The 25,631-nt window shown below is 37.2% G+C and overlaps 1 protein-coding gene across 5 annotated transcripts in view; it reads left to right on the forward strand.

The window, feature by feature from the left end:
* DCC (DCC netrin 1 receptor) overlaps positions 1-25,631 on the forward strand; it is a 1,195,703-nt gene that overhangs the window by 817,662 nt on the left and 352,410 nt on the right. For all 5 annotated transcript variants that reach the window (NM_005215.4, XM_017025568.2, XM_017025569.2 and 2 more), the window contains one exon: positions 21,104-21,258. In NM_005215.4, coding sequence (NP_005206.2) covers positions 21,104-21,258 — 155 coding nt within the window. The remainder of the gene's footprint in view (positions 1-21,103; positions 21,259-25,631) is intronic.

Here is a 25,631-nt window from a genome sequence, read left to right on the forward strand (position 1 = left end):
TCTGTCATTGACATCACATGAGCTCCAAAAAACCACATGACTTCTCTGAGCCTCATTTTCCTCTTTAATAAGGAGAAATTAATAATACCTACCTTAAAATATACAATAAAGTGTATAATTGGATTGTTTGTAATGCAAAAGACAAATGCTTGAGGTGATGGATGCCCCATTTACCCTGATGTGATTATGACACATTGCATGCCTGTATCAAAATACATCATGTATCCCATAAATATGTACATCTATTATGTCCCCACGAAAATTAAAAGTTTTTTAAAAACAAAAAAAAATCAAATTTAAAAAAATAATACTTACCTTGCAAGGCTTTGGCTAGCATTAAATTAAGTTGCATATATAAATGTCATATCAGTGTCCAGTACTTGGTAGAAGTTGTTATTGTGGATATTACTATTGACTAAGCAAAAGTGAGCTGTACATATCTGGTTTCAAGATTACAATCCATTGCATTTTTTTCTCAACATTTTCCCCTTAAGATATTTCACCATCTTATGACTTTGAAATTTGATGTTTAAGTCTGAGGTAAATGCTGGATAAGTTCCACTTCAGGAGAAGCAGGGATTCATGTCCTAGGGTTCTAGTCCCTCAAATTTGTGAGTGCTGTAAACATGTGATGATCTTTAGAATTCAAAAGGGGACATATACATTGGATAAACCAAAGTGTTATTTAGTTCAAAATGGGACAGTCTGGTGCTCAGGTGGTGCAGTACAGCTCCTCACCTGCTGGGTCTCAAAATGCTCTCCTTTGTAGTTGGCAGCAAGTTCAAGTTTAGCCTTTTAAAGTTTCTGTTATCTTTTACAAATTGACCTTACTTTAAAATGAAAGGAAAGAGGCTGGGCAAGGTGACTCCACGCCTGTAATCCCAGCACTTTGGCAGGCTAAGTCAGGTGGCTCACCTGAGGTCAGGAGTTCAAGACCAGCCTGACCAACATGGTGAAACCCTGTCTCTTCTAAAAATACAAAAAATTAGCTGGGCATGGTGGCGCGCACCTGTCATCCTAGCCACTCAGGAGGATGAGGCAGGAGAATTGCTTGATCACGGGAAGCGGAGGTTGAAGTGAGCCAAGATTGTGCCACTGCACTCCAGCCTGGGCAACAGAGACGCCATCTCAAAAAAAAAAAAAAAAAGAAGAAGATGTAGGCATACCCATATTGCCTTGTGCTCACTAAGATTATTCATTACTGTGAAGAAACAGGCGTTCGTTTTAGTGTTATCTCTGTAACTATTTGTGATCTTACGATGCCTCCTGAGTTCCTTGGATTTCAGTGTGTGCAGCTGTGAAAACTGGAAGCAATGATTCTTGCCCAGTCATCATGTTTTTACATGGATTTCCTGGAGGTACCTTAAATTCAACCTGCCCAAAACATACTCACTTTCTCCTCCTTATGTATATTTTTCCTTTCTTTTCTTAGTTTATGTTAGTATCTTCCATCCCCGTTGACCAAGCAAAAAATTCATGCCATGTTTTACTGACTGCTGCCTCCCAACACTACCATTCCTCGTGAAGTCTTGTCAACTTTACCTTGGCCATAGCTCAGCCATGCTTCCTTTATTCTATTATTTTCAACATCTTTACCTGATCTCTGGGAATCGCTCCTCACCTGCCAATCCATCTTCCTCACTGTTTGTAGTTACCTTTTTGAAATATAGTTTTGATCACTCACTCCACTGCCCCAAAATGTGACTGGTTCTTAAATACAATAAAACTGCTATACAAATATATGCACATGGAACTTCAGACTTCTTTCAATGGAAGTCTAGCCCCAATCTATCTGTATCTATATCTGTCTATCTGTATGCATATATGTAAAAGTGTGGTTTCTATAATCTATAATGGTTAAAATTTTTTCACTCAAGTCACAAGAGCTAGATTTGAAAATGGTCCTACTATTTATCAAATGTGTGATGCTTCTGTATTTAATAATGTATTAAATACGAATAATACTTTTTTGGTAAAAGGAATAAAAGGAAGATAAATTCTACCTGTTAGCATTGCTATGAGGACTGAGGGAATTCAGATAAAGAATTCAGGGCAGTCACTCCACACAGGAAGAATGGAAGGGCTCAGAATAGTGTGAGCTCAGAGACAATGTGGAAAAGAAGTTGAAATTTAGGCTCAAAGTATAGGAAGAAGGAGGATGAGGAAGAGAAAGGGAAGGAGAAGGGGAAGGAGAAATTGTTGAAATTGCTATGTTTGGGTGAACCATTTATTTTCATAATTGTTCACAGGCCTGCTTATCATACAATTTTGTCCTTTCCTCTTCTCTTGAGCTTGTTCTTACCTTTCAATCCTAAGCATCAATCCTCTATACCCCCTTGGCTACTTGCTGCCATGGTTATACCATGAACCTTGACAACACCAATCACTGCAACCTCTCATTATCTGAGTTTCAAATCATATTCTTGCCTCACTCTCCAGACTCTTGTCTTACTATCCTTTATTTAGGACTCTGAACACAACGAAACTTTGATTTCATAGAGATCTGCAATCTGTTGATCCTATCCCTTATAGTTCCTGTTTTCCTTCACTTATTCCATAGCTACAGTTCCATGGCCAGTAAACACAGCAATTAAATATTTGCTGACTTGCATCAATGTTTTGCCTGCTACTCTCATTTCATATTACTTGCTTAGCAAAAACCAACTCAAGTAAATGTAACTTTCTACCTACTCTTTACTTGTGCTCTTGTAGCTGAATATAGCTAGATGGAAAGGTGTAACTGGGCTGATTCGTCTCACTTTAAATTCATAGCTACTAATCTCCTGTTGCCCATTAATGCTACTGGCAATTATACTACATTTATCAGGCAGTCTCTCTCACATACGCTCCTAATGATATTTCATGACTTTTTCTCTCTTCTCAAATCTCCAACACCTTCCGCCTTTCCCCCACTCTTAGCTGACCTTGATTTTAATTTCATGTAATATAAGAAGGGGAATTCTACATGCTTTCATATGTGACTTTTTTTTCACCCAAGTTTGTCTTAAAGCGTATAATCTGTCTTTCCTCAAATTTCCATAAAACAACTGCCTGTACTCTTTAAAGCGAAACTTTCACTTGTGCACAAGATCCCATCTTTTCTTATAAAAGAGCAAATCTTCAGCCATTCTTTCTCTCTTCTGTGCCATCAGTTTCTCCCACTAAGGTGAATTACACCTATCAGCATGTCAGCATGTAGTCGAATCTTCCATTGCAACAAATTTTGCTTCAATTTCACTTTTCTCTCCTCTACCACTCCATGCTCTGTTCTCTTTCATAGGAATATTCCTTGAATTGTCTAACTTCACTCCAATGTCTTACATCATATTCCAATAATTATTTTGTTCCTAGAATGTAATAGCAACTGCTCTTATCAAGGTTCACCAATAACCTCCTGTTGCTAACCCAGTAGTCAATTCCTGGTCTTCACATTACTTGGACAATCAGCAAATTTTGTCACATTTGATCATTTCTCCTTCGGTGAAACTCATTCACTCAGTTTCCTATTGCACATGCTCTCCTCATTCTACTCTGGCTACTCATTTTCAGGCTCTTTTTACTTTTTACTCCCAATTTATCTGATCTGCACATATCAAATTGCTTCAGGACTCAAGCCTTTCATTCACTTCTTGACTTTATATTCTGTGAACATGCTGATGTGTTCCAAATTTGTATCTCTGGTCCTAACTTTTTTACCTGCAATCCATACTCATATACACGTCTTCCTACTTGATTTCTCAACATCAATATCCCACGAGCATCTAAAACTTATGAATAAAACCAAATACCTGTTATGCTTCAACCCCAATTCCTCCCCACCAAATACTTCATCATTCCAGAGTTCCCCCCACTTTTGAAATCTTCATATTTCTCATTATCAGGCCAAAATCTTTGAAATAATTCATAGCTCGTAGTTAATTTTTAATTCTTATTATGAAATCCGTCATCAACTCTTGGCAGTACCATCAAAATATATCCTGAATCCATGAAATAGTATACCAGGTTTTGTTATAAAATAATATTGGAAGGCTGGTTATGATTTTATATTCTGAGCTGAGTTATGGAAATAAAGTATTTCATCATATTATTCTGCCTAGTTTTATATTGTTTAAATTTTCATAATAAACAATTAAAATCAAATAAATAAAAACAAAACATGGCCAGGCATGGTGGCTCACGCCTGTAATCCCAGCACTTTGGGAGGCCGAGGTGAGTGGATCATTTGAGGTCAAGAGTTCGAGACCAGCCCGGCCAACATAATGAAACCCCGTTTCCACTAAACATACAAAAATTAGCTGGACGTGGTGGCACGCACCTGTAATCCTGGCTACTTAGAATGGTGAGGCAGGGGAATTGCGTGAACCTGGGAGGTGGAGATGGCAGTGAGCCGAGATCGTGCTACTGCACCCCAGCTTGGGTGACAAAGCAAGACTCTGCCTCAAAAAAAAAAAAAAAAATTAAGACCAGAAACAAAATATATACTGAGACCTACCACTTCTTACCCACTTCTTAAGTACAACCAAGTCTCATTGGAACTATTGCAGTAATCTCCTAATTCTAGTCTTACCATAGCAGCTGGAGTAAACCTTTTAAAAGATAAGTTAGGGTATGTCATTCCTCTGCTTCAAAACCCTGTGATGACTGTTTTTCTCATTCACAGAATTAACAGAACTCCTTGCCTTTTTCTCATGTTACTTCTCTAACCTCATCACGTAGCACTTTCCTTATGTTTCCTAAATATTCAAGAATCTTCCTCTATTGAGATCTTTGCGCTTGCTCTTCAGTCTGCCTAGGATGTTCTTCTCCTCAGAGATCCACATGGATCATTCCCTAATTTCTACCAAATCTTTGCTGTAATGTCACGTTCTCATGGAAGCCTTTCTTGATCCCTGGCACTCACTATGTACTTTTTATTTTTATTTTTCTCCATAGCCTTTATTACCTTGTACTTACAAATTTTGTTTCCCTAATCCCCTTTCTCCTCACCAGAATATAATATTCCTATGGGCAAGGCTGTTTTTATCTTCTTTATCCACTGAGCTATTCTCAGCACCTGGAACAGTGCTTAGCACATTATAGATACTCACTAAATATTTTTCGACTTGATGCCTTAGCTGAAATGTCAACTACTGTGTGGAACTCTCCATAGTCCTCCAACTCAGAATTCATCAATTTCACCTTTATCTCACCCCTTCATTTTGATTACATTACTGTTATGGCCTTGGCCACCTTTTATCAAGTTTGATGTTTGGCTGAGTACGTGTGTATTTCTTTCCCTGATGATTAAGACTAGTTCTTATTCATAATTTCATGCTCAAGTGTCCAGTATCATGCCTCATGTAAACATAAACTGATCAGAACTGATATGGTAGAGGTGGCAGAGAGATATGATATTCTCGATAGATTTTTTTCTTACCCAGTAAAATAAATTGTGTTACTGAGGAGGATGAATAAGCTGACTACAGTTCAATAAAAACTTTAATTCCAAAAAAAGTTGATATTAAAATTTTATTCTAATATCTCCATTTACTTTGATTTTTCTGGCTTTCAACTAGAGCCATAAAATATGCCACTGTCTCTTAGCAGTTAGCTGTGATGTTTGTTTGTTCATGTAGGTTTATTTAGCTGCTTGACACAATACCTTTCTAAAACGTTGTGAATTTAACATTTATCTCAGATTAGCAATAACTTTGTCAGGAAAGTTATTCTAGCTCAGATCATCACGAATCTTTCTGACTTGTTAATGGTGTAGATAATGCAAGTGCCATAATTCAAATCTTTTTATCCAACCCCTTGGGGTGCTTTTATTTCATAAGTTAAAGAGCAGCATATATTCCAAAACATGAAAGCTAGAATTCACAGTGAAGTAATTGCCTCATAGATATCTAGCTATCCCCTCTTAGTACCTAAAAATCATTAGGAATGAAAAGTGATCTTTGAGATCATAGTCTAACTTCCTGCTACCTAAACATTCAGAGACCAATGATCAGAGGAAAGTCCATGCCCAAGGCCACAGTTTTATCATCAACAGTGACAGCAAGCATTTATTGGGCACTTACTCTGCCAGATACTAGGCTAAGCATCTTACATAAAGTATGTTTACCAAGATGAGACTTAAAGAAGAAGTTTATACCTCCATTATACAGCTAGTAAGTAGTAGAACTAGAATTTCGTGCAGACCATAGTCCAAAGCAGGCACTCTCAATCCCTTTTTCATCTTGCTTCCTTAGTGGATTAACCTGCAAGAGAACTAAATGTTCTTGATATTTATAGAATTATGACATGCAATTCTTTTATATGTTTCATTCCAATAATTTTTTGACTTAATGGCTAAGTTGATTTGCATTATTTATTTACCACTAATAAAACACACTAGTGAATTTTTATTGTTGTATTTATTTTGAGAGATGAGGTTTTGCTATGTTGCTCAGGATAGAGTGCAGTGGTGTGATCATAGTTGACTTGCAGCCTCAAACTCCTGGGCTCAATGGATCCTTCCACCTCAGCCTCCTGAGTAGCTAGGACTACAGGTGCATGCCGCCATGCCTGGCTAAGTTTTTGTATTTTATATATATAAAAAGAACATTATACCTCTCACTTGTAACTAAAATGACTTATGAAGTATAACACAGTATAGCCAAAAGGGTAAGGCTATGTGGCTGTGGAATTGAACCACCTGGGTTCAAATCCTGGCTTGTTATTTTACCATCTGTGTGACTTTGGGCCAATTACTAGTGACTTTGTTTTCTCACATGGAATAATAATAGTATCTGATGTGTAAGGTTGTGATGAGTATTACATGAAGTTAAATAAAAGCACCTAAAACACTTGCTCTTTGGTGCACCCACAACATTCCATTCTTATTAGCTAATGCCATGTGCAAATCATCATGTGGGTTGAAAATTAAAATAACTGAAATACAAGGGTGTTTCTTAACTCTTATTTAGAGAGGACTTTATTACTTTCATAAGCATTCACACATTTGATCCTCAGATAAGGTATTTATGATGATCTCCATTTCACAAATGAGTATGCCTTTCTCTGTTCAGAAAGACTGAAAAATATTGCTAAGAAACCACACTAATAGTAAATATTAGAACTGGGATTTCAATGCAAGGTTTCTAGTCCAGTGATCTCTTCACTGTGCCATACAAAGTGAAATACATTTTCTGAAAAAGCTCCATATAAAATACAGTGGGAGTGCAGATGAGAGAATTAAAACAATTTTATGAGCATCATTCAATTTAATCCTCACAATAATACTGTGAGGTAGGCAGATAAGGGACTGGTATCTTCATTTTGCAAATGAAGCAGAGAAGGCTCCAAGATAGCCCCTGACTTGCTCAAGGTCACACACTGTTTTGTGGCAGAACAAAGGCTGAACTAGGTGTTCCAACTTGCAGCAATATATGCTTCACATTGCTTTATGCTGCCTCAGAAAACCTCTGCTCACTGTTCAGGATTAGAAACCAGCTTTTTCTGACTGACATGGAGGATTCCTTTTAGAATTCATGGTATATTACATTTTTGATGTGGTGTTTACATATTCTTTCCCCGCTCTTCAGAGTTGAGGACTCTGCAGCTGATGGAGCTTGTTATCCATGAGGGAACATATTGTGATGGAAAAAGAACAAGACTCAGAATCCTAAGCATGACATTCTGGCCCTGGCTTAAAGCTTGGCAAAGTTAGCCTTCTTCTTAGAGCCCCACTCTGCTTCTCTGTAAAATATAAAATCATGGCCCTGTACCTCAAAGTGTTTTTAATTCATTGAATGAGAGAATAATGATTTTATTTCTCCAGTGGACTTAATGCATATTGAAAAATGAAACATGCCATCCACAAATGTCATATATAAATGAGCAAATATTGAATGTGAGTTGACTATATGTCCATGTCCAGCAGTGTATTGAAAATAGAAGAGAACCCAGCAGATTCTCTGGAAGGAGTTAATCTTGAAAGGTTCGTCTTACTGATGAATGTATAACCACACACTTAGTTAAGAGCTTTAGTGGAAAGGAACATGCTTCTGTGAGAGCATTTATGAAATGTGTGCATGATGTCTATGTCATAATCAGACTTGCAGTTTCAAAAGATGACTATGACTAGAAAGTGGAAACTAGAGCAGAGGTCAGCCAGGTGGGTGCCAGAGTCATTCAGCAGGCTATTGCAGAAGTCCAAACAAAAGATGGTAGCTTGGTCTAAGGGTATGTCAGTGGAGATGGAGCAGCAGAGAGAACTTTGTAGATATTTAGGGGGCAAAACTGACAGGACTGAATAATGCATTGCACATGAATGGTGAGGGAGTAGGGGTTGTCAAGGACAGTCACTTGGTTTCTGGTATATTCCAGTGTAGAGATCATTGTGCAATTTGCTGAGATTAGGATGCTGGAAAGGTCCATATTTGAAATGAAGATCATAAATTCAGTTTCAGACAAGTTGTGCTTGACATACCTTTACGACCTTCAAATGGGAATGTCCCCAAGGGCCGTGGAAATAGGAATCTGGAGCTCAAAGGAGAGGATTGGGACAGAGATATGTATCAGGAATGTGTCAGCATGTGGATGCTCGCTACAGCTAGAGAAGGTTAAGATGGCCCATCCCAAGAAAACAGAATGATAAAAGAATCCAGAACTCAGTCACATTTATCATGTGGATAGACGCTGAAACTAAACAAAATAAGAATTTGAAATCAAAATCTGTTTCACCCCAACTCCCAAGATATAGCTCATTATTTGCAGTTACAGTAGCCATTTGTTACGTAACTAGTCTCAAGTGTGTATTAGATGTTGAAGCAGAGATTACAGGAAAGCACATTTTTAAAAAGCTCATTCCTAGATTTATCCTTTTTAACAATTCAATAAAAAACAATTTTTAACCAAAACTTAGTGGAAATACCTCTAACCAAGAGAGGTAAACAAAAAAGAGACATTTCCAGTCTTCATTATGCTTTTATCTGGCAGTGAAACATCTTGAAACCTTTCTCTCTAAGATAGCATTGATTTCCAAACCTATGGTTTTAGGGTAATAAGGAATGTGACATTTGGGTGGTTATCACTCTGCTATCACTTTGAGTCCTATTTCATTAAACACCATGTTTCAGTTTTGAAATCTTTTAATTGTTATAACATTCTGGCATTCACTAAAGAAATAATGAATGAAAGTAGAAGAGATAAAAAGGAGATGCTAAAAATCTTTCCACTAAGAATAACGTAACTCCTTCTCTACAAAGGAAGGTTAATGTAACTCTTCCTCCCTGAAGCAACTAATTAGGTGTTTGACCCCTCAAGGCAGCATTTGTTGCTCAACTCACAAGTTGTAACTAAATGTTAACACTCTGAGGCACTTAGGCAAGATGATATGTATTTACTAAAAATGCATGTTAGAGACTTGCTACAAATAATCCACTAAGAAGCAGAATCATGTTTAATCTCTAAACTCTACTTCTGAAATGTAAAAATAGAAGTGCTGAATTCAGCTAACACAAACACTTGTAGATACAGGAGATTTTCTATTTTTTATTCCTAATGAAGAGTATTAGAGTAGTGAGGTTTCTTTAAGTAGATCCCACTCTCCATTACGGATAATGAAATCAAGACCCAGGAAGGTGAAGTGACATGCCAAAGATGACCGAAATAAATGGGGATGGAACAAGGAATAGAATCCAATTTTCTAGGCATTTCTAAGGTCACATTATGTGGAGATTTTATGTAATTATTCTCTTTTAATTTCACATTTATTTATGCATTTATTTAAAAAATTATGAGCCCCAGCAATGTAGCCATTTTTTTATGCTCAGTGAATCTATATGCTAAGTGTGAATAAAATATAAATGGAATATGGCTTCTCTTTTTAAATAATTTACAGTGAAGTCAAAGAAACATGCATGTCCATTAATACAAAGTGATACATAATACACTAGATGTATAAACAGAAAGCAATGAAAACACAAAAGAGAGCATTTAATGGTACTGGGTTTGAAGACATGAGGGTACGAAGTTTCAGCTAAACATTTCCTTTGAATTGGATTCCAATTGGGTTTCATTTGAAACAAGCTTTTGCCAAACAGAGTCAGAAGTGTGAGTCAGGAGAAGGTAACTCCAGGCTCATCATCACTGGTCATTGAGAAATGCAAATCAAATCAAAACCAAAATAAGATACCATCTCATGCCAGTTAGAATGGCGATTATTAAAAAGTCAGGAAACAACAGATATTGGAGAGGATATGGAGAAATAAGAATACTTTTACACTGTTGGTGGGAGTGTAAATTAGTTCAGCCATTGTGGAAGACGGTGTAGCGATTCCTCAAGGATCTACAACCAGAAATACCATTTGACCCAGCAATCCCATTACTGGGTATATACCCAAAGGATTATAAATCATTCTACTATAAAGACACATGCACACGTGTGTTTATTGCGGCACTGTTCACAATAGCAAAGACTTGGAACCAACCCAAATGCCCATCAGTGATAGACTGGAAAAAGAAAATGTGGCACATATACACCATGGAAAACCATGCAGCCATAAAAAAGGGATGAGTTCATGTCCTTTGCAGGGACATGGATGAAGCTGGAAACCATCATTCTCAGCAAACTAATACAAGAACAGAAGACCAAACACCACATGTTCTTACTTACAACTGGGAGTTGAACAATGAGAGCACATGGACACAGGGAGGGGAACATCACACACTGGGGTCTGTCTGGGGGCGGGCGGGGGGGCTAGGGGAGGGATAGTATTAGGAGAAATACCTAATGTAGATGACAGGTTGATGGGTGCAGCAAACCACCATGGCACATGTATACCTATGTAACAAACCTACACGTTCTGCACATGTATCCCAGAACTTAAAGTGTAATAAAAAGAAATGAAAGGAAAAGGAAAAGCAAAATAAGAAAAGACAGAGAAGCTGACATGAACATAGGGGTCCTGGGGCAGGACGGCTCATTGCAGATGACTGTGCAAAGCTTTGGGCCACATCGTGAAGGTCTTTGAACCTTGTTCCATGGAGGTGAGATCTCATTAATCTAGAATGGCAGCTAGCACAAGGTTGTGGGCATGGAGTTGACAGGTTATGTGTGTTAAAAGGGTATCTTTGTCAATAGATGATAGCAAAAATTGAGAAGACTAATGGCAAAATGCTAGAAAAAGCTATTATTATAATGCAATACATTTAAGTACCAACTAAATCAGGGACCAGTTCTAGGCACAGGAGAATATACTCTACCAGAATTAGATCTCAATGTAAATTGCACAATGGTGCATCGCATGTTGCCATGCTTGACTTCATGCTTCAAAAGATGTCAGTGCTTAAGAGTTACAGGGACTGATCTCAGTAAAGCAGGAACATTATGGTTAGTGGGTCAAACTGCATGCTTTTAGAGTAGAAACATTTATTTTCCAAGACACTTTAATCAAGTAACTCAAAGTTCTTAAAACTAGCATTCACAAAAAATTAACGCTTCTTATTAACTAACTCTTCTTATAGCCTCCTTGTAAAAGTCCAAGTGGACAAGTTGTCTACAGACTTTTTAGCATGAGGAATCAGACTTCGTATATTTGATGCTCTATGTGAATTTTCATTGAGTAAATTTGCTGTGAATGGATTCAGGCAGGCACAAGTGGCTTGATTCCTTTACTTCAATCGACTTATCCTGAATTTGGCTTAACTCCACCACACTGCCAACTTAGAGTTAGGGGGAAAGGAATGAAGTGGAGAAGATTTGTCTGACAATCCATCTGGTGTTACAGATCATGACTCTGAGTTCTGCATATTTGAAGGGTAATTATGTCTTCAGATTCACAGGAGAGAACATCACTGAGAGGGAGGAGGCTTGGGGTCCCTGCCGCTTCCACAGGAGTTGTTAACGCAGTGAGAGGCCGAACAATACAAGTTTACCCAAAAATTGGGTAAACTTCTCATTATTCACTGTTCTCTTTTCTTCAGAACCCAGTGTGCTTATCTGCCCATTTACAGAGGGGTATGGACTACAGTGAGCAGAGAGGAAATCCTTAATTACTGCTTCATGGAAAATTTACTTTAGGTGGCTAGTGTTGGCCTATAGTGGAACCAGAGAAATCCCACATAATAAACTGCCCTTCCAAACTCAGATGTTACTTAGTTGTTGGGAAATGGTTTGCTATATTTTGTTTACAGCTATTAAAGCCTGGAAAGGGTGATTAAAAACTCGTGGGAATCCTTGGGGCTAGAACTGAACAAATCTGTGAAGGATAACATGGCAGGAAATACCATTTTCTCAATATGCTTTTGTATAATGTTAGCAATTAGATGTCACCCCATTAAAACACAGGGAAGCCACGCAGCAGTTTGGCAGCAGACACTCATCCACCAGTGGGGACATCAGATACCATAAGACTATCAAGCTGTACTGTGGAACTCAGGGAACTCCTATTTCTTCTCAGTGTCCCTCAGAGAGCAGTTTCCAGCCCTTTAAAAATGAATATTTTCATTATTGGAACTTGTTCAATGTGTGTAGTTATGCTCACTCTTTTTGTTTTGATTTATCTTTGCAAAGAAAATTAATATGATAGAAAATATCAATAAAGATTTTTTTTGGAGTGGGGGCAAGCCCCAATGTCAGGGAAACCTATCTATGTAGCTTTTTTCTATGTGATTATATCTCTCATTAAGTTATGTCCTCAGATTCCTGGTTTTAAATACTTTGTGGAAAAGTCCCCTTCTTGGACGCAATAGATTTATTTCTTATGAAGTTGTGGTGGTATTTTGTTATTATAAAATAATAGCAGTGACTGCCATTATGGCAGAATCCATATTAAGTATCAGGTGCCATGTATTTTTCTTTAGATATTTTACCTACAGCATTTCATTTAATTCTTTCAGACATTGTGATACAAAATTTTTATAGCACATATGTTGTACTTGAGAAATCTGGGGCTCAGAAAGTTTAATGTGAAGGCCAGAAACAGCCCCCCTGACTTACCTCAGTCCTGAACTACTTACTCCACAGTCTACATAGGCTTTTGAGGTTTGTTTTTTGTTGTTGTTGTTTGTTTGTTTATTTAAAACAAGGTCTTACTCTGTCACCCAAGCTGGAGTGTAATGGCATGATCTCAGCTCATGGCAACTTCTGCCTCCAGGCTCAAGTGATTCTCGTGCCTCAGCCACTAGAGTAGCTAGAATTACAGGCTCATGCCACCATGCCCGGCTAATTTTTGTATTTTTACTAGAGAGAGGGTTTCACCAGATTGGCCAGGCTGGTCTCGAACTCCTGACCTCAAGTGATCTGCCTGCCTCGGCCTCCCAAAGTGCTGGGATTACAGGTGTGAGCCACTGTGCCTGGCCTACATAGTGTTTAGATGCAAACTCCCTTTGATATGATAAGCAGATTTCTGGAAAGTGGCACATAAAATTGAAATGGTTAGATTAAACCATGGTTTAAAACCACTACGAGCCCACATTGTGGAAACCAGTGATCAACCCAGGGCAGAACCAGCAGGTGATCAGAGGTTGAACCATAGAGTTGTCTTGGAGGTGTATTTACATAGCAAGCACAATGCATTTGCCTGGGTTCTATTTTACAGATCAAAATCATGGAAACATTTTCAAAAGATGCTTTATTTATACTTTATGTAAGACTGAGAAAGTATGAATTGTCCATATCAATGAATATGTTTATACATAAATTTTTTATGAATTATTAATTTTGGATAATTTTTGGAGGCTAATGAAGATTATTAAATCTTCCCCATTATGAAATCCAACATCCTCTTGTATATGTAAGTGATATTTTCATTTCATGATCTTGGACATTTTTACCTGGACATGTCCAGATTTTCTTGCGTCCCTTTCCTTTAAAGTATACCTGTTCAGCAAAAGACATAAACAGATACTTCTCAAAAGAACACATACAAACAGCAAACATATGAAAAAACTGCTCAACATCACTAATCGTCAGAAATGCAAATCAAAACCAAAATGAAATACCATTCCACATCAGTCAGAATGGCTATTACTAAAAAAAAAAAAATAATAAACAATAGATGCTGGTGAGGCTGCAGAGAAAAGGGAATGCTTATACATTGTTGGCAGAAATGTAAATTTATTATTTTAGGCACTATGGAAAGCAATTAGGAGATTCCTGAAAGAACTTAAAACAGATCCACAATTTAGCCCAGCAATCCTATTAACTGGTATATATCCAAAATAAATTAAATAATTCTAACAAAAACATCCATGCACTCATATATTCTGGATAAAGAAAATATGGTGCATATACACCATGGAATACTATGCAGCCTTAACAAGGAATGAAATCACTCCCTTTGCAGCAACACGGATGTAGTTGGAGGCCATAATCCTAAATAAATTAATGCAGGAACAGAAAACCAAATACTACATGTTCTCACTTATAAGTAAGAGCTTAACACTGAGTACTCAGGGACATATAGATGGCAACAGTAGACATGGGACTGTCACATAGGAGGAAGGCAGGAGGGCAAGGGTTGAAAAACTGTTGCGTACTATACTTACTACCTGGTCATGACAAGATCAATCATACCTCAAACCACAGCATCACACAATATACCCGTGTAACACATTTTCACATGTACCCCAGAATCTAAAATAATGAAATTATTTAAAAAATAAAATACAGAATAATACCTGTTCAAAGGGTTATGGCCAGCGTGACTTGGAACACAGTTATTTCATCCAGTTTATTTAGTATTTGTAAGAATAAAGTCAATTATGAAAGCTGTCCTTCCTTATACATACCCAAGGTGTTTGATAGGCAAATATGGCCTTTGATAACAATGTTGCTTGAAGGTCTAGAAAAGATGCTTTGAAATGATTCACAGCAGATGATAGACAAATTGATCCTCTCAGCAGTCTCTGAGTGCTCATTGTCCCCTTTTTCCCTATAGGACCTCATGTCTTTTACCCAAAGTTCCCATGATCCAAAGAAGTTCCTTATTTTTCCACTATTGTTGAATGATATCAATACTAGATTTAGAGGAGGAAGTTCCAGATTTCATTCTTAAGTGTGATACCCACTAACTGTGAAGCCTTTGAATAAATCATGTTGCTTTTCTAAATCTCACTTTCTATATGTAAAATAATGATAACAAAACCACCCTATCTATATCAGTAAGGTACCTGAGGCACTGGGTATAAAAATTCTTCTGCTAAAACAAAAATAAGCAAAAATCCCCATCTCCATGTGCTCAATCTCTTTGAGCTATATACAACAAGGCATACAATTCTATTATGAGGGTTTGCTTTTAAAAAGCAATTTGCTGACCTAAATGATCTTAGTTTGGTAGAATATAGCAGTGTGGTATGTGGCAAATGGGAGCATTGTTCCATATTTCTTAGCCTTACCTACTTTAGATTACTATTGAATCTCATCCAGACCCCTACTCTCCTAGAAGTCGGAATTCAGCCTTCCAGAAACTTCATACTGCACTTCTAAAAGAATGCCTAAACCTCAGGCTATATCCAGATTCATACAGGGTGCTTTTTCTCTATTGTGGTAAAACATATCTTTCATTTTACAATTTTAACTATTTTTGAGTGTACAGTTCTATGGTATTAGCACATGTACCTTGTTGTGCTACCATCACCACCATCTGTCCACAGAATTTTTCATTGTCTCCAGTTAAAATTAAAAAAGGCAGGGGTTGCAATCCTACTCTCTGATAAAACAGACTTTAAACCAACAAAGATCAAAAGAGACAAAGAAGGTCATTACATAATGGTAAAGGCATCAATTCAACAAGAAGAGCTAACTATCCTAAATATATATGCACCCAATACAGGAGCACCAAGATTCATAAAGCAAGTCCTGAGTGACCTACAAACAGACTTAGACTCCCACACATTAATAATGGGAGACTTTAACACCCCACTGTCAACATTAGACAGATCAACGAGACAGAAAGTCAACAAGGATACCCAGGAATTGAACTCAGCTCTGCACCAAGCAGACCTAATAGACATCTACAGAACTCTCCACCCCAAATCAACAGAATATACATTTTTTTCAGCACCACACCACACCTATTCCAAAATTGACCACATACTTGGAAGTAAAGCTCTCCTCAGCAAATGTAAAAGAACAGAAATTATAACAAACTATCTCTCAGACCACAGTGCAATCAAACTAGAACTCAGGATTAAGAATCTCACTCAAAACCGCTCAACTACATGGAAACTGAACAACCTGCTCCTGAATGACTACTGGGTACATAACGAAATGAAGGCAGAAATAAAGATGTTCTTTGAAACCAACGAGAACAAGGACACAACATACCAGAATCTCTGGGACGCATTCAAAGCAGTGTGTAGAGGGAAATTTACAGCACTAAATGCCCACAAGAGAAAGCAGGAAAGATCCAAAATTGACACCCTAACATCACAATTAAAAGAACTAGAAAAGCAAGAGCAAACACATTCAAAAGCTAGCAGAAGGCAAGAAATAACTAAAATCAGAGCAGAATTGAAGGAAATAGAGACACAAAAAACCCTTCAAAAAATTAATCCAGGAGCTGGTTTTTTGAAAGGATCAACCAAACTGATAGACCGCTAGCAAGACTAATAAAGAAAAAAAGAGAGAAGAATCAAATAGACACAATAAAAAATGATAAAGGGGATATCACCACCGATCCCACAGAAATACAAACTACCATCAGAGAATACTACAAACACCTCTACACAAATAAACTAGAAAATCTAGAAGAAATGGATAAATTCCTTGACACATACACTCTCCCAAGACTAAACCAGGAAGAAGTTGAATCTCTGAATAGACCAATAACAGGATCTGAAATTGTGGCAATAATCAATAGCTTACCAACCAAAAAGAGTCCAGGACCAGATGGATTCACAGCCGAATTCTACCAGAGGTACAAGGAGGAACTAGTACCATTCCTTCTGAAACTATTCCAATCAATAGAAAAAGAGGGAATCCTCCCTAACTCTTTTTACGAGGCCAGCATCATTCTGATACCAAAGCCAGGCAGAGACACAACAAAAAAAGAGAATTTTAGACCAATATCCTTGATGAACATTGATGCAAAAATCCTCAGTAAAATACTGGCAAAACGAATCCATCAGCACATCAAAAAGCTTATTCACCATGATCAAGTGGGCTTCATCCCTGGGATGCAAGGCTGGTTCAATATACGCAAATCAATAAATGTAATCCAGCATATAAACAGAGCCAAAGACAAAAACCACATGATTATCTCAATAGATGCAGAAAAAGCCTTTGACAAAATTCAAGAACCCTTCATGCTAAAAACTCTCAATAAATTAGGTATTGATGGGACATATTTCCAAATAATAAGAGCTATCTATGACAAACCCACAGCCAATATCATACTGAATGGGCAAAAACTGGAAACATTCCCTTTGAAAACTGGCACAAGACAGGGATGCCCTCTCTCACCACTCCTATTCAACATAGTGTTGGAAGTTCTGGCCAGGGCAATTAGGCAGGAGAAGGAAATAAAAGGTATTCAGTTAGGAAAAGAGGAAGTCAAATTGTCCCTGTTTGCAGACGACATGATTGTATATCTAGAAAACCCCATCGTCTCAACCCAAAATCTCCTTAAGCTGATAAGCAACTTCAGCAAAGTCTCAGCATACAAAATCAATGTACAAAAATCACAAGCATTCTTATACACCAACAACAGACAAACAGAGAGCCAAATCATGAGTGAACTCCCATTCACAATTGCTTCAAAGAGAATAAAATACCTAGGAATCCAACTTACAAGGGATGTGAAGGACCTCTTCAAGGAGAACTACAAACCACTGCTCAATGAAATCAAAGAGGATACAAACAAATGGAAGAACATTCCATGCTCATGGGTAGGAGGAATCAATATCGTGAAAATGGCCATACTGCCCAAGGTAATTTACAGATTCAATGCCATCCCCATCAAGCTACCAATGCCTTTCTTCACAGAATTGGAAAAAACTACTTTAAAGTTCATATGGAACCAAAAAAGAGCCTGCATTGCCAAGTGAATCCTAAGCCAAAAGAACAAAGCTGGAGGTATCACACTACCTGACTTCAAACTATACCACAAGGCTACAGTAACCAAAACAGCATGGTACTGGTACCAAAACAGAGATATAGATCAATGGAACAGAACAGAGCCCTCAGAAATAACGTCGCATATCTACAACTATCTGATCTTTGACAAACCTGAGAAAAACAAGCAATGGGGAAAGGATTCCCTATTTAATAAATGGTGCTGGGAAAACTGGCTAGCCATATGTAGAAAGCTGAAACTGGATCCCTTCCTTACACCTTATACAAAAATCAATTCAAGATGGATTAAAGACTTAAATGTTAGACCTAAAACCATAAAAACCCTAGAAGAAAACCTAGGCATTACCATTCAGGACATAGGCATGGGCAAGGACTTCATGTCTAAAACACCAAAAGCAATGGCAACAAAAGCCAAAATTGACAAATGGGATCTAATTAAACTAAAGAGCTTCTGCACAGCAAAAGAAACTACCATCAGAGTGAACAGGCAACCTACAAAATGGGAGAAAATTTTCACAACCTACTCATCTGACAAAGGGCTAATATCCAGTATCTACAATGAACTCAAACAAATTTACAAGAAAAAAACAAACAACCCCATCAAAAAGTGGGCAAAGGACATGAACAGACACTTCTCAAAAGAAGACATTTATGCAGCCAAAAAACACATGAAAAAATGCTCATCATCACTGGTCATCAGGGAAATGCAAATCAAAACCACAATGAGATACCATCTCACACCAGTTAGAATGGCAATCACTAAAAAGTCAGGAAACAACAGGTGCTGGAGAGGATGTGGAGAAATAGGAACACTTTTACACTGTTGCTGGGACTGTAAACTAGTTCAACCATTGTGGAAGTCAGTGTGGCGATTCCTCAGGGATCTAGAACTGGAAATACCATTTGACCCAGCCATCCCATTACTGGGTATATACCCAAAGGACTATAAATCATTCTGCTATAAAGACACATGCACACGTATGTTTATTGCGGCATTATTCACAATAGCAAAGACTTGGAACCAACCCAAATGTCCAACAATGATAGACTGGATTAAGAAAATGTGGCACATATACACCATGGAATACTATGCGGCCATAAAAAATGATGAGTTCATGTCCTTTGTAGGGACATGGATGAAATTGGCAATCATCATTCTCAGTAAACTATCGCAAGAACAAAAAACCAAACACCGCATATTCTCACTCATAGGTGGGAATTGAACAATGAGATCACATGGACACAGGAAGGGGAATATCACACTCTGGGGACTGTTGTGGGGTGGGGGGAGCGGGGGAGGGATAGCACTGGGAGATATACCTAATGCTAGATGACGAGTTAGTGGGTGCAGTGCACCAGCATGGCACATGTATACATATGTAACTAACCTGCACAATGTGCACATGTACCCTAAAACTTAAAGTATAATAAAAAAAAAGAAAAAAATTATTTACTTATTAAACACTAACGTCCCATTCTCCCATCACTTAGCTCCTGGCAGCCACTCAGGGTGCATATTTTAAATACTAGCAGTGCTAGTTAAAATGATGGTAACCCGTATAACAAATAAGCCCTAAAATATATAATGGCTCAGAACTATTTCTGACTCTATAAGGTATGGAAGGGATGTTACTGATTGTCAGTTCTTTTCCCAGCTCTTCTCTAGAATTATTACAAATGTTGATTGTTCCATCATCACCCATATGGCTTCTAAGGTCATCATGCTTCCCTACCTCAAGACAACAGGTGGAAGAAGAGAACATGGTGAATTACCCATGTGCAGTTTATTTTAGGCCAGGCCTGGAATCAGCACACATCACATCACATACACTCAACCTCTTGATGAGACTCAGTCACAAGGCCTCAACTAGACTTCAGGGAAGCCGGAAAATACGGTCTAGTACATGAAGCAGAAATTTCGGGTTTGAGGATAAGCGAGCCAGTCTCTGCCATCAGTCATATTAAGAGTGTAGATATGCCCAGGAATCATCATCATTCATGCACTTAGAACTTTTACTTTTTGAAAATCTAATTTTCCCTGGCAGAAAAAGATATTTTATTTTAAATATGTCCAAAACCAAAACATATCTGAATGGCAAAATTAAAGTGTACGTATAATTCCACTGAGAAGCAAGAGATATTATCTAGATATAGAAACCTTGAGAAACAATTGAGAATCTTAGAGGAAGTGCCTTCTTCACTCAGTTCAATCAGCTATATGTTAAGTTCCAATGAGGATATCTAGAATGTTCAGAAGGTGTAGAATTATGTGTGTCCTTAAAGAATATTTCAATAGTTACCATTTCTAAAATGTCAGCATCCATATCCAAACGGTTTGTCATCTCTTAATACGCACTATAAATGCAACCATGATCAGTAGATTAATTCATTAGTTTGCAACACTGAGGAAGTTTTTAGTTTATAAATGTATTGATATTGAACACATAGAGATGTGGCTTGAAGAGCAAGACAAACAGGCATATGTTACAGTTTCTCTTCACGCAGGAAGGAATCTACTTCCTTTCACTAATTGCACTTAAAGTAACCACAGGGACTCAGGCTCCATACATAGAACACTAAGCATCTGCGTTTTCCTTTCATACAATGAGAGAAAATGCATAAATGCATTTGTTGGCAATACTGACAAAGACCGATTTGTGGAATAATTGAAACCTTGATTTCTGTCATTAGCCGGATGTTTACAAAACTCGTCTTCCTGTCTACATTCCAGATGTTTCTCCTTATTTTAATAGCTCCTTGTTTTTCATGGGTTTTGAATTCCAAATTGTAAAGTGTCGAGGAAAAAGACTTTCGTTTGCAAGTTTCATGGAAAATGACATAATCTTAAACTCCCCAGAATCCTTGCAACATTTATTTGTAGGTCCTTCCAATTAGTTTATTTTCTATAGAAAGTCTGAGGTCTTGAATTATGTCCCAGAGTCAACATTAGATGAGTGAGCAACCTTTTGGTTCACCTCACTACTCTTGCACATCAAATACAGATTTTGGCTGAAGGTATTCTTTTTGGAATAATCTTTCTCTGCAACTTTGATTTCTCAGGGAACGAGCATTGAATACAACACAGCCTGGGTCCCTTCAGCTCACTGTGGGAAACCTGAAGCCAGAAGCCATGTACACCTTTCGAGTTGTGGCTTACAATGAATGGGGACCGGGAGAGAGTTCTCAACCCATCAAGGTGGCCACACAGCCTGAGTGTGAGTATGAAAAGGAACGGGCCACATTTAAAAAGTATTTATTTTCCTCTGCAATATCCTTGAATTCTTTCACAGAACCTTTGCGAAGTGACAAAAGCGAAGAAGAGTTTTTTTTCTTCTAAGTAAACTTATATAACTCGAGGACTTTTAAAAGATAACTTGTAAATAGAATGGCCTCTTCACTTAGGCCACATACCGTAATGGCAAATTAACCTCTATAAAGGCCTAATCTATCTATGCAGTCTACTTATTCATTTCCTAAGAAAGTGATTTACTCTTCCTGACAGTATTTTATCCTCATCATTGAGTTTCAGCCTCCTCTGTTGAATTTTCAGATTTTTTGAGTTTGTAAAGAGTGTAACATCAAAGGTAAAAGAACAATAACATACAATTTCTAAATCCAGGGACTAATTTAAAAGCTTGAACACGCACCGCATGCACTGAAAAACCTACTAAAAGCAAATTGAGATTTGAGGAATATGAGAGATAACCTCTATTGGATAATCTCACTCCCTCTACCTTGAATCACTAGATTCAGCTATGTTTTTTTTTCACAAAGTAGAGCAGCTGAATGTTCTTTGACCAATGTATAATTCAATGATTTCAACTTTGATAAAGGAAGAGCTCCAGAATTACATATCGAAAACTATTTCTGTACTTGACAAAATTTTGTTTTTTCTTGTGCATTTCTAATGTTTTTTGAAAAGATTAGTTGCTGATGAGTCATTCGCCAAATTTGTTTTGTTTCGCATTAAAAAACGATTGGAATTTAAAATCAAAATGAAATGCATGGCTACTTGTTAACAAGCTGCCTTATGTTAAACACCTAACTGTACCTGTTTCCTTTTTATATAACAAAATTTGTAATGATATTTTGATTTCCTGTTCATTTTACGTGAAACTGTAAAGAGGTATATCAAAATCACCTCTTGTATTTTGGGAATAAGGTGAAGTAGAGATTGGAAATATTTTAACTGGTAATTGTGAGAGAGTAACCTTTGTATTCTATCACTTCTTGGGTGGTTTAAATCAGCAAGTCGAAGAAGAGAGAGCAGGAGATACAGTCTGAGTGCACTTTCCACAGAATCTCCATCCTTTCTTTCATTTGGCCAGGGCTACAGAGACAAGATGATAACAAATTGGAATAAAGTATTAATTGAAGGGACGGAAGAGGGCTAAGTTGTGCAAGTACTACAAATATTTGCCTCACAGAAATAAAAACCTCAACAACTTCAAAAGCATAGTCATGTTGAGGTTCCAGACAATTATTTGGAAATGCAGGCCCCCAGGCATAATAATAATTTGTAGGACCCAAATAATTTCTGTTTGCAAAATAAAAACACAGGGGCACATTGTTAAAAATTATTAAGATTATGGGATGGCTACAGCAGAACGTGAGTCCTTGCACAACTTCACCCTTTGCTGCCTATGAGCTGGTCCTGCTCCCAGGTTTCTGTTCTGGGCAATGTTTTGTTGCTGTACTGATTTAAATCACTAAACAATGCCAATTTCCTCTTCATAATGTCTATATTAACATAACATTTCAATCTTCTTTTTTTATTTTTGGGACGGAGTCTCACTCTCTTGCCCAGACTGGAGTGCAGTGGCACAATCGCGGCTCATTGCAACCTCCGCCTCCAAGGTTCAAGCGATTCCCAGCTAATTTTTGTATTTTTAGTAGAGACGAGCTTTCACCATTTTGGCCAGGCTGGTCTCGAACTCCTGACCTCAAGTGATCCCCCTGCCTCGGCCTCCCAATGTGCTAGGATTACAGGCAGGAGCCATCGCGCCCAGCCCAACATTTGAGTCTCAATTGCTTTATTGACTTTCTCTTCATAGATCATCTATGTAAAATCAATAACTTTTATGACTATTTTATATTTTTGATTAAAAGCAAATTAGGTTTTACATATATATAATACACACACACTATATATGGTATATCTCATGTGATAGATAGGTCAACAATTTAAAAACTCTTGAAAAATTCCTTAAAGAAATCCTTGATAAATTTTCCAGTATTGGAACTAGCTTTAAAAGCATGCTCATTTTCAAAAGATCAAATCTCCATGGATTATCTGAATTTTTCATCTCCTAGTTCTAAAATTATCGTAAAATTGTTATACTGTACTTTTCAGAGCTGACTAGTCATGATTACATTGCATTTCTGATAAAAATCCTGGTTGGTTAGCCTTGCTTTGTAAGAATGAGCATTTTTTTTCCCCTTGATCAATACTATTGTTTCTAAGCATTCAACTTAAGAAAGCAATTTTCAGTGTTTTAAAATTTTACTTCTTTTTTTTTTTTTTTTAACACCAACGTTCCCAAGCCAAGGGACAGTAAAGTATTTTCGTTTTTGACACTGGCTAAGAACACTCATTCCATAAAAATTAAAAAAAATAAAAACTATGATAAAATGATACAATATATTCTGCTATTTTAATATAATTAAGTTAAAAAGAATAATGATTTTTTTGTATCACACATATGGCCTTAACTTTGTAAAACACAAACAATGACATAATTCATAAGTATGTTTAATAAACATTTATTATGTTCCTAACACTGTTCCAGGCTGCATGAGGCATGTTAGAAAAGCATATGTGAGTAATAAAGCAGCAGTATTTATGGATCTCAGCAGATTTGGGGGGAAGCAGGTATTTTAAATATGTAACAATAACAAAACAACTCGAGTAGGGGAACTTATAAGAAGTTGGTAAATGGAATACAAACAATCTGAGTCACAGATTTGCTCGTGGGCCCATGACCTGTGATGGCTGCAGCATATTACCTAGTTAATTTCTTATGCCCAGATCATACTGCATCCACCTCCTCAAATCAGTCTTGTAATCCAGTTACAATGACAGCCATGTCTATGCTTTATATATCACACATTCCTTCCCATTCAGAAAGCAGTGTGAAAAATTTGTGCAGAGCACCTCACTGGACCCAAGTCTCTATAAGCATTTACTTTGCTTAACAATTAGCGTAAATGATAAGGCATAAAATAACAAAAGCCTAACTGAATAAAACATGCTGATTGTTGGTATTGTTGTCACATATAAATTCTATTCTCTAAGAAATGAAAATGAAGAATCTCTCTGCTTTAGAAACATGATGCAGCCATGAATCTTTTTCATTAATGGCAGCAATAACAGCCTTAGAATGCTAACCATATTTTGGCCTTTAGTAACAGCATTGTTCTATTAAATTACCCATTTTCTTACCAGTATATGGAATAAGGATACCTTTGCAGATCATTGTTTATTTGCACTATGATTTGATTCTGTTTCACTGAACATTGCCACTGGATAATTCCTCCCTTACTGAGTAGATAAGTAGTTAGGAATAAAGTAGCCTGCATAAACAAGACATTCAGAATATCCTTTACATGTGCAAGAGAGTTAGCCAATTGCTTCAATTCATGTATATTGAGTACTACTAAACTCACTTGCCGTCTTTCTTACGGACATTAGAATAAATAAATTATATTATCATGAGTGATAGGCATTGCATGTGTATTTTATCTTCTGTTGGTAACATAAAATGCCATTTTGGCAATTTGAAAGTATTTCTAGGATAAGGAGCACTTACTTCATCTTCTCCAAGCCTGCTCAATAAGACACCCAATTACTGAAGAAGATGGAATATACCAGAGATCCTATGGTTCCTTTCCTTTCCTTTCCCATTCCTTCCTCCCTTCCTCCTTCCCGCCATCCTTCCCTCTTTGTTATAAGCCCATCTTTCTGTCCTTAAGAGAAAATGCGAGGGCTGGTTTTATGACTTCGCTAGACTATCAGAATTTAGTGGCAAGATCAGGTTAAAGAAAACGTTTTCATCAATATTTCTTTTCTGACAAAATGATCTTATCTTTTGAAAATGGGTCTCAGCTGAGTATGCATTTGGTTGCTGCTTTTATCAATGTTTTCCAAATGTGATGTAGTAATTGTACACTAAAATTACATAGCTTGTATACAAATTGAATTTCAAGTTTTTCATATTATTTGAAAATATCAACTCTATTATACAAACCATATTTGCAAAGAATAAAACTGATGGAAAATATGTCTGAAATATAAATCAGCCAGCAACTGTTTCTAAAAGTGCATACATTTTGTAGTAATCATTTAAAGAGATCGACAGCCCAAGATCCAGTTTATGAAATAATTGCTCGAAATAGAAAGGCTTGATTTATATGAAGGTTTGTGTCCTCTGATGGTATCTTCCTTTGCTAAACCCTTGCCCATTCTCCCCTGCCTTTATGGTATGTAATTTCTCTACCATATTATCAGCCAGGATTTAAGTCCCTGTCTGCTTAAGACTTGTCTAATCTTTTCATACCACATGTGGAGATTTTTTGAATTATTATTTGC

Source organism: Homo sapiens, chromosome 18 (genome assembly GCF_000001405.40).
Source record: "Homo sapiens chromosome 18, GRCh38.p14 Primary Assembly".
NCBI classification, from domain to species: Eukaryota; Metazoa; Chordata; class Mammalia; order Primates; family Hominidae; genus Homo; species Homo sapiens.